Source organism: Homo sapiens, chromosome 20, assembly GCF_000001405.40.
Source record: "Homo sapiens chromosome 20, GRCh38.p14 Primary Assembly".
NCBI classification, from domain to species: Eukaryota; Metazoa; Chordata; class Mammalia; order Primates; family Hominidae; genus Homo; species Homo sapiens.
The window spans coordinates 63,326,180-63,343,222 of record NC_000020.11 but is presented as its reverse complement, the minus strand read 5'-3'; the positions used below and the strand labels follow the sequence as shown (position 1 = coordinate 63,343,222).

At 53.7% G+C, this 17,043-nt stretch overlaps 1 protein-coding gene and 1 pseudogene across 3 annotated transcripts in view, besides 1 other annotated feature; both read right to left on the bottom strand.

Moving 5' to 3' along the window:
- Positions 1,722-2,921: an enhancer, noted in NCBI's record as "BRD4-independent group 4 enhancer chr20:61971654-61972853 (GRCh37/hg19 assembly coordinates)". NCBI's record gives its function as "activates an origin of replication core promoter dependent on BRD2, P300/CBP, MED14 and CDK7 cofactors, and independent of BRD4, by STARR-seq in HCT116 cells {active_cell/tissue: HCT116}" and the evidence as "EXISTENCE:reporter gene assay evidence [ECO:0000049][PMID:35650434]".
- Positions 5,799-5,868, bottom strand: RNU6-994P (RNA, U6 small nuclear 994, pseudogene; annotated as a pseudogene).
- COL20A1 (collagen type XX alpha 1 chain) overlaps positions 8,417-17,043 on the bottom strand; it is a 41,621-nt gene continuing 32,994 nt past the window's right edge. The window contains exons 31-36 of one of the 3 annotated variants that reach the window (NM_020882.4): positions 16,400-16,471; positions 15,236-15,271; positions 15,096-15,144; positions 14,725-14,892; positions 13,562-13,638; positions 8,417-12,503 (exon numbers count right to left, since the gene is read on the bottom strand). In NM_020882.4, coding sequence (NP_065933.2) covers positions 13,565-13,638; positions 14,725-14,892; positions 15,096-15,144; positions 15,236-15,271; positions 16,400-16,471 — 399 coding nt within the window. In that variant the 3' untranslated portion in view covers positions 8,417-12,503; positions 13,562-13,564. Of the gene's footprint in view, positions 12,504-13,561; positions 13,639-13,981; positions 14,267-14,724; positions 14,893-15,077; positions 15,145-15,235; positions 15,272-16,399; positions 16,472-17,043 lie in introns of those variants that run through there. The other 2 variants (XM_011528937.2, XM_011528938.2) reach the window with 2 other exon arrangements.

Below are 17,043 nucleotides of genomic sequence, written 5' to 3'. Positions count from 1 at the left end.
CGTGTGCCGTGCTTTGCATTTTCTATTCAAGTGTCTTCTATTTCAGTCTGTAGGAAAGGCTGGATGCAACCCACAAAACTGATTTCTTGACCCACGGTTGGAAGCTCGCTGCTTAGGACGGAACACCTGGTAGTGGGATTGTCAGGGGTTTGCACTGGGTTTTAGGAGATAATGCCAACGTGTCTTCCACGTGACTGTGCCGTTTACACTCCCTGTCTGCAGACAGGCGCTCCCGCTGCGCTAATCCGAGCTGGCATTTCTTGGCATTTGCCTGCCTCGCGGGGTAAGGTACACAGCGTGCGTATGAATCCTCAGCGGCATGACAAGGCATTTTCTTTCACAGACTGAAGAATATTCGCATAGAGCCGGCACCCAGGAATCCCCTGCCCAGCCCGGCCGGCCACGACCCGCCCGAGGTCACCCAACACCTCTGCCCCGCGTTGCCTGGCCCTGGGTTCTGTGCGTGGCCGCGCCAGGCGTGCCCTTCTGTCGGCTCCCGATCCCGGGTCATTGCTCGCTGCGCGGCCACTGTGCTGCGGGCTCCGCCGCGTGGCTCCACCATCTTATTTACCCGTCGCCAGCTCGGGGCTGCTGTGAACAGACTTTGGCAGGGAGGCTGACCCAGGAGCTCCCGCTCTGCCGTGGGAAGGAAGGGTGCGTGGTCGGCTCAATGAGCTGCTGACGAAGGGTTTGCCAACGTGGTTGCATCGACGTTACCTCCTCTCAGGGCTCCGATTCTCCCCCCTGTACCAAGGGTTCTTAAGTTTTGCCAGTCTGGTGGGAATACAGTTCTCTCTGTGTTTTAAATTGCATTTCTCTAGTTACTTGAGTTGGGGCATCTTCTCACACGTTTATCGGCTGTTCACGTTTCTTCTATGACGTGCCTATTTTGTCAGGTTTTTGAATCTCTGTTTTGTATTTCTAACTGAATTCCTCTGGAGTCAGCAAAGTATTCCATTTAATTTCAGTGCTTTCAAATCCTTCACGCTTGTTATCGGGTTCAGCATATGGTCTGTCCTCATCAGGGTTCCACGCAGCCTTGAAAAGAAGACATCTTTCGGCTCTGTTTCAGGGAACATTCTAGAAATGCCCGCCAGGTCCCGCCTACTGAGGTGTCCTTCAGGCCTTCTACACCCGGGCCAGTGTTCTGTCTACACGGTGTAGGAGGTTTCAGAGGGGAGCTGAAGTCACCAAGGAGAACCGTGGCTTTGCCCCTTCTCGCAGGCGTGCTGGCATTTGCTTCGTGTATTTGGAAGCTCTGTTAGGTTGCATTCAGGGTTGCTGTGTTCTCGCGAGGGGGCACCTGCTCACTATGTAACGGCCTCTCTATCCCTCGTACCGTGCCACTCTCTCAAGTCTCCTTTCTCATCATCACGTAAACGCTCCGGCCGTCTTTTGAGAGTTGTTGGTAGATCCCTTTCCAGTCTCTCCTTTTCACTTTGCTGCTCCATTTGATTACATATAAGGAAGGTTTCCTGCAGACAACACGTAAGCACCATCCTAGTCAGACACAGAACGTTTCCCTCACCCAGAGAGCTCCTTCGTGTCCTGTGTAGCTAAAACCCTCTGCGCTCCAGGAAACCGCTGATGTGATTCCCAGCTCTGTGGATCATTTCTGTTATGTTCTAGAACTTCATGTAGGTGGAACAGGTGCGTTTGTGGATAGCCTCTGTCATGCAGCATGGCGTTTGGAGTTGTTGATGAACAGTCAAACTCTGTAAAATATTTGAAGAGATTTATTCTGAGCCAAATCTGAGTGACCATGGCCCATGACATAGCCCTCAGGAGGTCCTGAGGACACGTGCCCGAGGTGGTGGGGCGCAGCTTGGTTTTATGGATTTTAGGGAGGCGTGAGACATCAATCAATACGTTTAAGAAATACATCGGTTTGGTTCAGAAAGGTGGGACAGTTCAAAGTGAATTCAAACATTTTCTGGTTGACAATTGGTTGAGTTTGTCTGAAGACCTGGCATCCATGGAAAGGAATGTTCAGGTTGAGATAAAGGATTGTGGAGACCAAGTTTGATTGGTGCAGAGGAAGCTCTCAGATAGCAGACTTCAGAGACAGCAGGTTGTGAAATGTTTCTTATTGGACCTAAAAGGGTGCCTGGCTCTTAGTTGATTATCTCCTGGATCTGGAAAGGAAGGAAAACAAAGGGGAAGGGGATTCTCTATAGAATGTCGGTTTTTCCCGCGAGAAACTTTGCAGGGCAATTTCAAGGTATGGCAAGGAAATATATTTTGGCGTAAAACATTTTTTTTTTCCTTGTCTCATAATGTTACACCAGAGTGAGACTGGGAAGTAAGTCACGATATATAGGGTCAAATAAAACACATCTGGTGAGAATGGATAGTTTGTAGGGCATGACTCCCCAGACACTTTTGATAGGAATTTGGGCAAGATAGGAAATCAGAACTTAGTCCTTGTGGTATTCACCCAAGCTGTTGAATGTACGTAATTCACTCCTCTTTATGGATATGATGTAGTTCGTTCATCTGTGTGGATATGATGTAATTCACTCGTCTTTATGGATATGACATACTTCACTCATCTTTGTGGATATGATGTAATTCATTCATCTGTGTGGATATGACGTAATTCACTCGTCTTTGTGGATATGATGTAATTCATTCATCTGTGTGGATATGACGTAATTCACTCGTCTTTGTGGATATGATATAATTCATTTATCTGTGTGGATATGATGCAATTCATTCATCTGTATGGATATGATGTAATTCACTCGTCTTTGTGGATATGATGTAATTCACTCATCTTGTGGATATGACGTAATTCACTCGTATTTGTGGATATGATGTAATTCATTCATCTGTGTGGATATGACGTAATTCACTCATCTTTGTGGATATGATATAATTCATTCATCTGTGTGGATATGATGCAATTCATTCATCTGTGTGGATATGATGTAATTCACTCATCTTTGTGGATATGATGTAATTCATTCATCTTGTGGATATGACGTAATTCACTCGTCTTTGTGGATATGATGTAATTCATTCATCTGTGTGGATATGATGTAATTCATTCATCTGTGTGGATATGATGTAATTCACTCATCTTGTGGATATGACGTAATTCACTCGTCTTTGTGGATATGATGTAATTCACTCATCTTGTGGATATGACGTAATTCACTCGTCTTTGTGGATATGATGTAATTCACTCGTCTTTGTGGATATGATGTAATTCATCTGTGTGGATATGATGTAATTCATTCATCTGTGTGGATATGACGTAATTCACTCGTCTTTGTGGATATGATGTAATTCATTCATCTGTGTGGATATGATGTAATTCACTCGTCTTTATGGATATGACATACTTCACTCATCTTTGTGGATATGATGTAATTCATTCATCTGTGTGGCTATGACATAATTCACTCATCTTTGTGGATATGATATAATTCATTCATCTGTGTGGATATGATGCAATTCATTCATCTGTGTGGATATGATGTAATTCATTCATCTGTGTGGATATGATGTAATTCATTCATCTGTGTGGATATGATGTAATTCACTCGTCTTTGTGGATATGATGCAATTCATTCCTCTGTGTGGATATGATGTAATTCACTCATCTTTGTGGATAGGACGTAATTTACTTGTCTTTGTGGATATGATGTAATTCACTCATCTTTGTGAATATGATGTAATTCATTCATCTGTTTGGATATGACGTAATTCACTCGTCTTTGTGGATATGATGTAATTCATTCATCTGTGTGGATATGATGTAGTTCACTCATCTTTGTGGATATGACCTAATTCACTCGTCTTTGTGGATATGACCTAATTCACTCATCTTTGTGGATATGACGTAATTCATTCATCTGTGTGGATATGATGTAATTCACTCGTCTTTATGGATTTGCTGCAATTTGTTGAGTAATCAATGCACATGTGGATTGTTTCCAGTTTGGACTTGCTCTGATTAAAGTGACTGTGAACACTCATGTGCAGGCTTCGTGCAGACACCTGCTTTCATTGCTTTGGGGCAAATACCTGGTAGAATTGCTGGGGGCATAGGATAGTTGTACTTTTCTGTTTTTGTTTGTTTTTAGACGGAGTCTCGCTCTGATGCCAGGCTGGAGGGCAATGGTGCGATCTTGGCTCATTGCAACCTCCGCCTCCGGAGTTCAAGTGCTTCTCCTGCCTCAGCCTCCTGAGTAGCTGGGACTACAGGCACACACCACCACGCCCAGCTAATTTTTGTATTTTTAGTAGAGACGAAGTCTCACCATGTTGGCCAGGCTGGTCTCGATCTCTTGACCTCATGTGATCCACCCGCCTCAGCCTCCCAAGGTACTGGGATTACAGGCGTGATCCACCGTGCCCAGCCTGTACTTTTCTCTTTGTAAGGAGCCCCGACGTTGTTTTCCAGGGTGGCTGGAGCATCCACACGCCCCGACATCCTCACCAGCACCCAGTGTCTTAGCTGTTGCAGTGACTGTGATTTTCATATGTGCCTCCCTGATGATGGTGATGTTGACCATTTTAGGTGCTTACGAGCCACTTGTATGTCTTCTTTTTGTGAAGGATCTGTTGAAATATTTTGCCCATTGTTTTATCAGATTGTCTGCTTTTACTGAGTTGTAGGAATTTTGTGTACATTCTGGATGTAAAACCTCCATCCAGGACTTGTGGTCAGAGTAGGTCCTCTCTGCCTCTGACAGCCCTCATTCACTTAATGGTGTCTTTTGAAGAAAAGCTTTGAATTTTGACAAAGTGTCATTTTTTCCTTCTGTTTGTTTTAATGGTTAGTGCTTCGTGTGTCCTGTTTGAGAAGCCTTTGCCTACTCCGAGGCTGTAAATGTGATCTTCCGTTTTTTCCTTTTGGAAAGTGTAGTTCTGGTTTTGGTGTTTAGGTGAGAGTCTTTGAATTAACTGTTGTGTCTGGTGTGAGATAAGGGTGGAGGCTCATTGTCTGAGCACCATTCCCGTGGACGTGGCTGGAGACTGTCGCGAGCGTGTTACCCAGCTCTGTGGCTGTTACTGGCCCAGGACTGCTCCATCACGGCTGGAAGCAGAAAGCTGCATGTCATCTTTAAATGCCATTTGGAGAATTCATCCTTCGATCAGTGAAAGGTATTGCAGTTTCTACTACAGCGGGATATATTTAGGCCAACTCTGTGGTTTGTTGTTGTTGTGGAAATACGTTCCATCCCTTCTGTGGGAGAAAACTGGTATAGTCAGCTGCTCTGGAAGCTACACATTCCCTGGTGACTGCTCCTGACTCAAAACAAGCATTTATGTTTTTCAAGAGCTTAGTATATTGACCTGAAAAATGCCTCCCACCTCCAAAGAAAACAAGTACCCCAGCGTGCCTTCAGGAATTCTGGCCTCCCACACACCAGCCACACTGGAATAACCTAGAATTTCAGCTCTGGATTGCCACAGACATGATTTGTCTGGGGTGAAGGGTTTGATTATTTGGTCCATAGGGAACTTTACTAAGTTTTACACTTACTGTGGGATTTTCCCAGGTATCTGGTGTAATTTCTGATCATTTTCCTTTTTTTGCAGAATACTTCCTCCAGTGGTATTTTCAGAGACGATCTTGTGTGTGACTCCTTCTGACAGTCTCAGGGATTCAGAATGTATTTTTGTCTCATTCATTTAAGTGATAATTCTGTAGATATGAAACGCGAGCATGTTTTCTTGAACCCTGTGGAGCCACCGTCCCAGCGTCTCCTCTGCTGGCCCCTGGTTCTTCTGTAGTCTGGGCTGCAGGTTTTCCCCGGAAAGATTTCTATTTTTTTTCTTTTAACTGTGTGTCATCCCAGCAAATGGGGCTATGCTAATCTTCTCTGTATCGTTCCAATTTTAGGATATGTACTGAAGATTTTTAAAAGACTGTTTTTCACCGTCATCATTATGTACTGCATTATATATGGCATTGAGGAACCTAAGGGTACATTTAAAAATTTATTCCATTTGACGTTCTAGGCCCTTTTAATCTGAGATCTTAAATCTTTCTCTAATGCACAAATCTTCAGAAAACCCAGTTATTTCAACCTTTCCCCCTCCTCTTGCTGTTTCTTTCCTCGTAGAGCCCCCATGGTGTGGGTGCTAACACTTACATTTTCTGTTTCCTTTTTATCTTTTCCCAAAGCCTCCCGGGAGACGTCTCAGACCTGATCTTACAGCTCCGCTTTTAACATTTCTCTTTTTATGTTTTATACACATCATATTCCTAGTTGGTTTTCCTTTATACCTATAATTCTGGCGTCATGTTACCGATATCCCTCCTTGCCTCTTTAAGAGATTACAATTTTAAAAAATTAATAGATCAAAGAGAACAAACATGAATTCTTCTCTGCCTGGTACAGATTCTCCGGTTTGTCTCTCCCAATGCTTTTGATCTCAGATACCCCACCTTCCCTTGTGAATACGTCCCCTCAACATGGATAACAGCGCTGTGCATGCACAAATGTGTGAGTACGTGTGTGTATGGGTGTGTGTTTGCAAATGCATGCCTCGTGTGTGTGTGTACGGATTTGGGGAGGAGACAGTCCATTGTCATGTAATGGTTTCTTGTGGGCTACTGTCACACACGCGTGCATGCACACGCACACACGTGCACAGTGCACGCAGACACGCACACAAACGTGCACGCACACGCACGCACACACGTGCATGCAGACACGCACACACGCAGATACGTGCATGCACACACACGCACACACATGCATGCAGACACGCACACACATGCACGCAGACACACGCACACACGTGCACACACAGGGTGGCCTGAGTCGTCCCCAGGGTTTCTCCGTTTCTGTGTTCAGATCCTGGATTTGTCGGGCTCCCTCCCCAGTCCTGGCGTCTCACCAGGCAGGAGCCTCTGTTAGTGGCCATCTTGTTTCCAGGAGTCTGTGGGGACTCTTCTGGAAATGCGGATGTCTGAACGCCCATTTCACCTGGGCCTGCAGATCTGTTGGCGTAAAATGGGTCAGAGGGCTCTGGTTTTCAGCCTTGTCTTCATCCATGGTTTTGTCCTCTCTGCCCCAGCACTGTGGTGGCCCTCTCGTTTCTCTGGCCAGGTGCACTTCACTGAGCCCTCCGGGACGTGGGGGCCACCTTCCCCACCCCGTGGCTGGCCCAGGGCTGGCCCCACTCTCCCTTTCCCCTCTTGCCTCAGGAAGGAGCCAGAAAAGGTTCTACTCTTGCAGCTCAGCTTGGCCGTGAGACCGACGTCTGGCCACAGGGATGTAGCTGACAGTGGCAAGGACACCTTTGGAATGTGCCCTTCAAGGTTCCGAGCCTGCCCTTCTCCCTCCTCTTCTTCCTGTTGTTGGAATGTGACCCGATTCCGGGCCAGCCTTTCTCCTCCCTCCTCTTCTTCCTGTTGTTGGAATATGACCCAACAGTGGAAACAAGGGCAGTGTCCTGTGTGGAGGATGCAGAGCCAGGTGAGGGAAAGAGGCCTCCCCGTGCCTCTGAGAATGTCACTTCCACACTGCGAGAGCCACTCTTATCCTGTTATTATTGTTACTTGAAGCCACATCGAGCCCTACACGGCGCGTTTAGTCACTCTGTGGGAGGTGGTAACGTGTTCAGCTAAAACGTCTGTTTTCTGGACAAGGAGAGTTGCAGTCTTTGTCCTTAGGTACAAGCAGAAGTCTCCAAGTGGGACTCCTGTTAACACTGGTGCTCTTCACCCAGAGGACTCCCGCCCCTTCCGCCAAGTGAGGTGTAGCTCCTGGAGCAGCAGCAGTCATCTTGTGATGAAGGGCAGCTACATGCCAAGGACAGCCAAACAGGCTGGGATCCGCCATCTTGTGGTGAAGGGCTGGGATCCGCCATCTTGTGGTGAAGGGCTGGGATCCGCCATCTTGTGGTGAAGGGCTGGGATCCGCCATCTTGTGGTGAAGGGTGGGGATCCGCCATCTTGTGATGAAGGGCTGGGATCCGCCATCTTGTGATGAAGGGTGGGGATCCGCTATCTTGTGATGAAGGGCTGGGATCTGCCACCTTCTGATGAAGGGCAGCTACATGCCAAGGATGGCCAAACAGCCTGGGGTCTGCCATCTTGTGATAAAGGGCTGAGATCCGCCATCCTGTGATGAAGGGCAGCTACATGCCAAGGACGGCCAAACAGGCTGGGATCTGCCATCTTGTGATGAAGGGCTGGGATCTGCCATCTTGTGATGAAGGGCTGGGATCCGCCATCTTGTGATGAAGGGCAGGGATCCGCTATCTTGTGATGAAGGGCTGGGATCTGCCATCTTCTGATGAAGGGCAGCTACATGCCAAGGACGGCCAAACAGCCCAGGATTCCCTCAATGTCCATTCCTGCCCACAGGACTTTACGTGTGATGGCAAAAACTGATTTAGGGAAGCCAATGGCAATCAGGTTTTAATTAAATACAGGCAAACACAGTACTAATGAATGCACACTGCTTCAGGGTTTATTTTCTACTATTTAAAATTGTTTGAGTTGGAATCTTCCCTAAAAACTGTGTTTAAGGGCCGGTGAGGTGACTCACACCTGTAATCCCACCACTTTGGGAGGCCAAGGAGGGTGGATCGTTTGAGCTCAGAAGTTCAAGACCAGCCTGGGTAACACGGCAACACCCTGTCTCTATTTAAAAAAATACAAAAAACATTAGCCAAGCGTGGTGGCGCACGCCTGTGGTTCCTGCTACTCAGAAGACCGGAGCAGGAGGACCACTTGAGCCCAGGGTGGCACAGAGGTTGCATTGAGCCGAGATCATGCCACTGTACTCCAGCCTGGGTGACAGAGCAAGACCTTGTCTCAAAAAACAAGAAAACAAAACAAAGCACTGTATTTACAGCTATAAATTGCCCTCTAGGTACCACTGCAGCTGCAGCACAGAGATTCTGACGTGGCGCTGCATCCATCATTATTTGGTTACAAGTATCTTCACGTTTCCTTTTTTCTCTTTAACCCATGAATTACTGTGGAGTCATGGGTGTGTCTTTTAGCTTCTAGAGGCATTCTTTAGCTTGTTATCATTGGTTGTTTTTCCAGTTTCATCAGTGAGTGAGTGAGTTCTGAACAGCAGGATCCTTTGGAATGTAAGGTTTCTTATGGCCCAGTTCATGGTTAGTGTGTGGATATTCCACACATGAGAGGAGAGTGTTTCTCCACTGGGCAAGGAGTTCTGTACTTACCATCAGATCACGATGGGGGGCTGTATTATGACATCGTCTCTGTGCTGGGGCTCAAGTCCAAATGTTCCACGCCCTTCCCCAAGAAATGCACTGAATCTACAGACACTGGCTTCCCCCACCATCTGCCCTGGTGTGAGTCCACGTGTCCCAGCTCTCCCGTCCCCACTGCCCTGGTCCTTGGTAGATGAAGAGGCTGGCAGCCATACGTCGCCCCCCAGGTGCAGATGGCATCGGGGCAGGCTCCTCTACAGCTGGGGTTGGGTTTCCTCAGCTTCCATTTCTGACACTGCCTGGGCCAGAGCCATCCTCTGTGGGTGGACACGCCTCACCTGCTGGTCCTGCGGGCACAGCACCCCCTGCCTCCTGCTACACATTCCTCCCAGGCCTGCACGCACCCGCCTTCCTGGGCGCTGTGCCCACCCCTCCCTCTGAGCTCATCACTGAGCCGTTCTTCCCAGCTCCCCACCTTGCAGGTGGCTCTCAGAGGGGCTGTGAAGGCCTGGAGCTTCCAAGGTCGCTCTTGGGGCCTCAGGCAGAGCCACTCGGCACTGCCTGCAGACCTAGGGAGGGCAGGTCAGATACGCATGGCTGCACGCCCCTTACAGTCCACACAGCCACACCACCCTGTGACCCCAGCGTGAGCCCCGTGATTCCATGACCTTCCCACAACCCCCATGACCCCAGCGGCCTGAGCTGAGCGTCAGATCAGCCTTGCGTCACACCACCTCGGTGGCTGGCCTGAGCTGAACATCCCCGGCTGCATGGGCACGGGGGTGACTGGGGGCAGCACCTAAGGCCATGAGCTCTGGGCCAAGACCAAGCACCTCCCTGCATTTCCTCCCGGAGCCCCCACACTGCGTAGGGCTGAAGCTGTGCTGCCTCTGGGGGTGGAGAGGGGACCGAGGCCCACTACAGAGGGGCCTCTGGAGGGGAGAGCTGTGGCCGTAAAGGCAGGAGGGGAGGCATTGCCAGAAACCCAGCGCTCTGGCCAGGAGCGTGAGCCCCGGCTCAGTCCCTGGGGGCTCCTAAAAGGACCCAGAGGGATGCGGTGGAGTCGGGGCTGATGGGAGACGTGCAGGTCGGCTGGGTCTCGGGGAGGCTGCCTTCCTGCAAACAGGAGCCAGGCCGGTTTGGTGCATCCGGAGGCTGCTCTCAGCTCCCTTGCCATCCTCACCTTTGATTCGTACTCAGCTCCACTGCACAGGCTGGGGCGGGTGGGGCCTCAGGGACCAGTCCCTAAGCTGCCTGGGCACCAGCTGGCCGCTGCCTTTGCTGTGCCATTTTAATTGGCCTCCAGCATAAAGTCAGTTTCCCGAAGACAGCCGGACTCCCCTTTTGAGGCTGAGCATCACTGGTGTCACACCAGCGTGGCGGGGGTAGGGCAGCTGAGGGGGTGGTGGGGATTAGAGCCACCCTGGTTCCCCCCGGCCAGGCTGCCTCCTCCTGGCTGCCAATGTGGTCTCAGCCACCCAGTGCCCAGTCCCTTCATCAAATTGGAGAGCCCCAGGAGAGGGGCTCCTTTGGAAGGCTCTGGATGCCCTGTGGGCTCTGGGCTTGATTCTAGCCCCACTCCTGCCTCATGACAAAGCCTGCTCACTCCACTGCTCAAAGAGCCTTCTCAGTTCAGCTGGGGACATGTAATTCCCCGCCCTGGAGAAACCAAGTGAGAGCAACCAAGCTGTTTTGCTGGTCACACAATCTGAAGCAACTCAGCTCCCCAACAGAAGCCAAGTGACCTAGGTGTCCTCCCTGCAGGACGGAGGGGCTGGCTTGGGCTGCTGCTCTCAACAACTGTGTCTGATACCTGCACTGAAGGCTATAACTCTGCCCCAGATGCTGCTTTACCTGCACCTACTTTGGCCACATGCTCTCCTTGTCCCTCAGTGCAAAATCTGTCTCGATGCCACGTGACTTCTTCGACGTCTGATTTGTCCACAGACTTTGGGAATTTTCAGTGGTCTGTTTCTGTTCTCATGCTGCAGTGGGAGCTGGCATTTGGGGCTGCTTCCTGGCCTCAGTCAGGGCTGTGGCTCCTGTGGGTGCAGGCGCTCTCTCCCATCCTGCTGACCCTGCCTATGACTCTCTATTTGGTCTCCAGGTCTGGTCAGTTCCTGGAACAGTTGAATCATAGATGAAGTGTTTGCCCTGAAGCTGTTTTGCGCTCACCTCTTTGGGGTATGCTTTGGTGCACGCAATGCTGCACTGGTGATCTTGGTGGGTTTTCCTTCTGTCAATATCAAGGGTCTCTCTTTGTTCCTTTTTAATACTTTTCATTCTCTCCTCAATGATATGGCTTCCCTCTTCATTTCTGGCACCTTTCTTGCTTAGCTGCCTAAGTGGTAACAGTGGACTAGTTACTGAATATTTGTTTGGAAAGGAAGTAGAAGTTCCCACATCACCCCCACGGGCCACAAGGCCCAGAAGCCCAGGTGTGTGTTCTGAGCTTGCCCCCATGCTGTTTGGGCCACAGTGGGGATAAGGCAGGAAGTCCAGGCTCACACAGCGTCTGTGATGGTTGGGAGAGACCTGGGCAGAGGTGCTGAGGAGCGCACAGGCCAGAAGCCTGCTGAGGGATGACCTTGCTCTGAGACCCTAAGGACCAGGGGCTGATGGTGCCAAGTCTCAAAGCAATGTCCCTGCACAAGGAACTCAGCACAGGGCTGGGTGGGTGAGGGGTGGCCATTCACACACAGGATCTGAACTCCTTCTTGGGCTGGGGACAGAGGGGACGATGAGGCAGGCAGGGACCTGCCTGTGCCCAGATGTGAAGGTGCTGGGGCCGGGGTGGGAGTGCTGTTCTGAGGGAGGAGCCATCGTGCAGGTGACTGGTGGGCCAGCAGTGGAACCATCTGTTGCCTGCGTGAGGCGCAGAGAGAGGCGGGCCCACAGGGCCCTGGCCAGGCTTAGATGAGGCCCAGAGAAAGGGGCGGGGCATGTTGTTGAGCCTGTTTTAGAGCTACTGAGACGGCCACAGGGCACTGCTGCCCTCCTGAACCCGATTCGCCATCAGCCCAGCCCCTCCCCTTCCCCACTGCGGCTGAAGCTGCAGGGCCTCAAGGTGGGGTGCACAGAGCCAGGGTGGGGGACACTCTCCCAGGAAATGACTCCCGCCTCGCTTGGCTGGGTGAGCACTCAGGGGTTTATCTGAACTTGGAAATGCTACAGAGCCAAGAGTATGGGGTGGGCCTTGGCCGAGGCCGCTGCTTCCCTCTCCTTCCACCTGCAGGCTCTTCCTGAGCTTTTCTCCTGGCTTCTCCAGGATGTGGTCGCTCTCGGTGTCCAGACAAACCCAGGGAGGAAGGCTCAGCGTTCCTCGGGGCAGTGCAGAAAATGTCCTGGCAGGAGAGAAGGGAGGACAGATGTGAGAGGCCGAAGACAGCTGGACACCGGCTCAGGGCCAGCGCCTGGCACTGTGGCCACCCTGAGAGCCCGCATCCTGGGTCTCTGCACACTGCGTCCAGCAGGGCCGTGAGTGGGCAGAGCCATGGGCAGGGCCGTAAGTGGGCAGGATTGCGGGCAGGGCCGTGGGTGGGGTCATTCTCTGACGGGTCTGTGGAGGAGAAGCAAGGCTGCTTGTTCTTAGCCCTGGGCTCTGACCTGATTCTTGGGCATCTCAGGCAGCTGCCCTCTTGCCCCAGCCTTACCAGGAGCCCCTGGGTCTCCTGCCTGTGCTCCTCAGCCCTCCTAGCCCCTGCCGAGTCCCCTAGCTCAAAGGTGCCGGCCCCTCATGGGCCCCAGGTCACACACCCTGCGCCACGCTCTGGCCCCTGAAGCTACTTGAGGCCGGAGTTGTGCTGTACCCACCACCTGCTCCTGGGACCCTGTCCCCACACCTGCTGCTGGGACCAGCCCCTCAGCTAAGTTTGCACACAGGGTCCGCCTGCCCAGCGCTTCCTGAGGAAGGCAGAGGTTACCTGGTGCTACTATGGCCCCCACCCTGCCTCTCTCATCGACATACCCAGGGCCTCACAGGCCCCTCCTGGGACTCCTGTGAGCTTTCCCACACTTGGACCAGGTGCCCACTGAGCAAACACCTGAGCTCCACTCTCCCTGCTGCGCTAACCCTGGTCAGGGCCTCCTCCGCCCCAGCACGCAACTCTGCATCCCACGAGGTGCAGCAGACTCCCAGCACGCCAATCCATCTCCGGAACCCCACGTCCTGTGACCCCACGCCCTGTGACCCCACACCCTGTGACCCCACATTCCTGTTGCCCCTACGGGGTCCATAGTTGACCCTACTTTCCCCAGGGCCACCTCGCCTGCCTCTGCTGGGCCTTGTGCTCCCAGCACCCCACCCTGGACAGCATGAGGCCCCACCCGTTGGCCCCTCAGGAGCTCCTCCTTCCTGGATGCCCTCAGCCTTGGCAGATAGATGCAGGCAGCAGGGGCTCACCTGTCACTCCCAGAGGCCCTGGGTGCTAGCCCCCTGCTGCCCAGGGCTGCCCATCTGACCAACAGCTCCAGGCTCCCCTGCGAGGAAAGGGAGGGCATGTGAGGACGGAGCAATGCAGTGGCTTGGGGCCCTGTTCTGACGGGGACAGAGGGTGTCAGGGCCCCTCCCTGGGCACAGGCAGCAGGTCTGGTCCTTAGATGGGAGTCTGAGATCTAGGGGCAGCAGCGTGCCAGGTCCCCGTGCTCCACACAGGCGCCTCCTGGGCTCCATGACAGTTCTGGGGGGGCATGGCCAGGTGGGAAGGCGTCAGGTGGGGGCCCTGTGATAGTGCCTGTCACCCTCATCTAGACAGGTGGGTGCAGAGGGGGCCGTTTATTCTGAGTAGTGATGTACCCCTCATCTGCCAGGCTGCAACCAGGCCACTGTGGGCAGCTTCCAAGCCGGGGGCAGGGGTTCCCACAGCCCACGGGGCTCCCCCCAGGTTGCCCCCAGTTTCCTGAGACGTCTGTGGGATGAGGGGTGGGATTCAGCCGATGCCCGAACAGAGCAGAGATGCCCCCGCTGCTGCCCCGGCCAGTGCAGAACTCAGTCCTCGTCTGGCTGGGTCATCCCCCGTCTGTTCTCCCCGTGGACGCCCCTCTCCAGCTCCAGCTCCCCGAATCAGCCTCTCCTCCATCTCAGCGTCCAAGTCATGACCCACCGCTGCTGCCTCAGAGGAGGAGGAGCACCAACAAGGTCACGGGAGCCTGCGACTGTGCGCTGGGTGGGGAGAGGCGGAGGAAGCAGCAGCCAGGAGGATAAGAGGGCGGGAGTGGGGAGGACAAGGAGGACAGGAGGGCGGGAGGGCGGGAGGAAGGATGGGAGGTAGGCTGGGCTCTCCTGTGTGGCCCTAAGCAGGCAGCTCATGTTTCCTGAAGACTGGGGAAGAGGTCATCTTGAGGGCCCTGGAAGGCCAGGCCGAGGCTGACCTCTTTGCCATGACTGGCTTTGTGTGGGCTCAGGGAAGCCCCGTGTCCTCACCCCAGCACCCCAGAGGCTGGACAGTGGCATCTCCAGCAGGAGCTGCTGTGCTGACACAGATTGAAGCCCCAGCCCCAGGACCAGGGGACAACCGGCGCCCCCACCGGCCACAACTCCCTCCCCAAGAGCCAGGAGCCCAGTACCTCTGCCCTCAAGGTGGCGGCCACCACGCCCCCATTCTCCAGGAACCAGGGCCTTGCTGCGGGTGCCAGGGGACCCCAGGGGCTCAGTGCCCGGCTCCAGCTTCTGCTCCAAGATGGGCATGGGGGGCCTGGTGTTCTCGTGGAAGGAGTCGAACTTTGACACGTGTGCTGTGGGGAGGAGGGGTGTCAGCAGGACACAGTGGGGACCCGGGGATGCGAGGCCTGTGCAGGCCACGCCAGGACACCTGGCCCAGGTGTGCTAACGATGGGTGAAGGCGGCCTCCCTCGGCCTGGCCAGTGTGAGGACAGACAGGTGTGGTAGGCACAGGTGCAGGGCTGCTGGCCTCACTCACTCTGAATGGCAGACTCACAGGCCTGGCTCACAAGCTGGTAGAGGGTGGCAAGGGACTGCGGCTCGCCCTGGAAGGGAAGGTGGTGCAGCTTTGGGACCCGTGTGGCAGGTGCCTTCCCAGGAGATCCCAAGTGAGCCAAAGATCTCAGCCTCACTTACCTTCTCTCCTCGTTCCCCTTTGGGCCCTGGCAGTCCCTGATGAGGAGGGGAAGAGAAAAGAAGTCAGCAGAGATGGCCTGAGACCACACGTGACAAGTGTGAGATGGCCCTGAGGTGGATCCTCACTCAGGCAGCCTGATAGCCACAGTGGCGGTGTGAAAGCCCCATCCCAAATTCCCAGATCCTAGGAGCCTGTGGTCCTCGCCTGCACCCGAGAGCAGGCATGTGAGAGGCTCGGTTCTGCAGCAGAGTCCTGAGTGGGGCTGGAACTTGTGCCACAAAGGACTTGCCTCTGGCTGTAGATTTTGTGCTAGGGGAGATGGCGGGTGTGGGACACTGCCCAGAGAACAGACCCCTCCCGGGCCCCGGGCCCGGGTCAGGCCTGTGCTGGCACTTCCCTGCCGTCTTCTGTCTTCTTCCACCTCCCCAGCTCCTTGGTGAACCTGGAGCCCACCTAAGGGGGGGCCCATGGAGCTGCTGAAGGCCAAGGCATCCCCCAGGGGACACTACACCCCCATCTCCCACGTCTGTCCCCCTACCCTCCATGGAGCCTGCCGCCCCACCACCTCCCCTCCACCACGTCTGTCCTGGGTGGGGTTGGGAGAGGTGCAGAACCAGCCCTTAGCTACACTCTCTTGTACTAGCACCAACACCAAGCTCCCAGCTCAGAACAGGCCTCCAACAACAAATGGGAAGTCCCTGAGTGGTCAATAGGAAGTCCCTGGGTGGTCAATAGGAAGTCCCTGAGTGGCCAACAGGAAGTCTCTGAGCGGTCAACAGGAAGTCCCCGGGCCGTCAACAGGAAGTCCCTGAGTGGTAAACACAAGTCCCTGGGCAGTCAACAGAAAGTCCCTGAGTGGTAAACAGGAAGTCCCTGGCAGTCAACAGGAAGTCCCTGGGAGAGCGACAGGAAGTCCTTGGGTGGTCAACAGGAAGTCCATGGGCTGTCACCAGGAAGTCCCTAGGGGGGTCAACAGGAAGTTCCAGGCCAGTAAACAGGAAGCTGTCAACAGGAAGTCTGTGGGCTGTCAACAGGAAGTCCCTAGGTGGTCAGTAGGAAGTCCCTGAGCTGTCAGTAGGAAGTCCCTGAGTGGTTGCATGTGGGGCTTGCACCCTTCGCTCCCCCACCTTTGGTTGGCTGGTGGGTGTTGGAAATGCACTTACTGTGGGCCCCACGGTCCCTGGAGGTCCTCGCTCTCCACTAGTGCCCCTGGCCCCTGCCATGCCCTGGAACCCCTGCATAGACACAGAAGTCAGGGTTTGGCTTGGGCCCCCAGCAAATCTGCTCCCACTTCAGCCCTGGTTCCCAGATGTCCCAGGGGCCCCCTGACCTGACAAGGGCGGTGGATGCCTGGCTGGCCCCAGCCTCCTTCAGGCCATTCCTCCGGCAGGTGGTGCCTCCCCTGCCTCCAGGCCCTGGCTCCCCATGCCCTGCACCCCTCCTCCAGCACTGTCAGCACGCTGCTCTAAACGTCCCCAGCTGTGCCAGCTGCTCCAGTGTGACTGCAAGTTGGGCTTCCCCTAAAGTGGCGCTTGCAGGGAGGCAACCTGGCCTGCCCAGCACTCAGCCCGAGGCCGATGCCAGGAGACCCCCCTCCAAGGTCTCCCAGGAACTGAGTCCTCAGCACAGAGCCCTCACTTGGGAGCATGCAGTGCTCCTGGGCAGACGCTCACCCACCCACAGGGCCCTGCAGAAAGTTCCAGCAGAAGTGAGGCCCTCCCAGGCACTTCCTGGGGTAACCTAGGGGTGGCAGCTGGTGTTCAGACTGGCCTCTGCCTGACCCCTGGAACACAGGAACCCTGGGTGG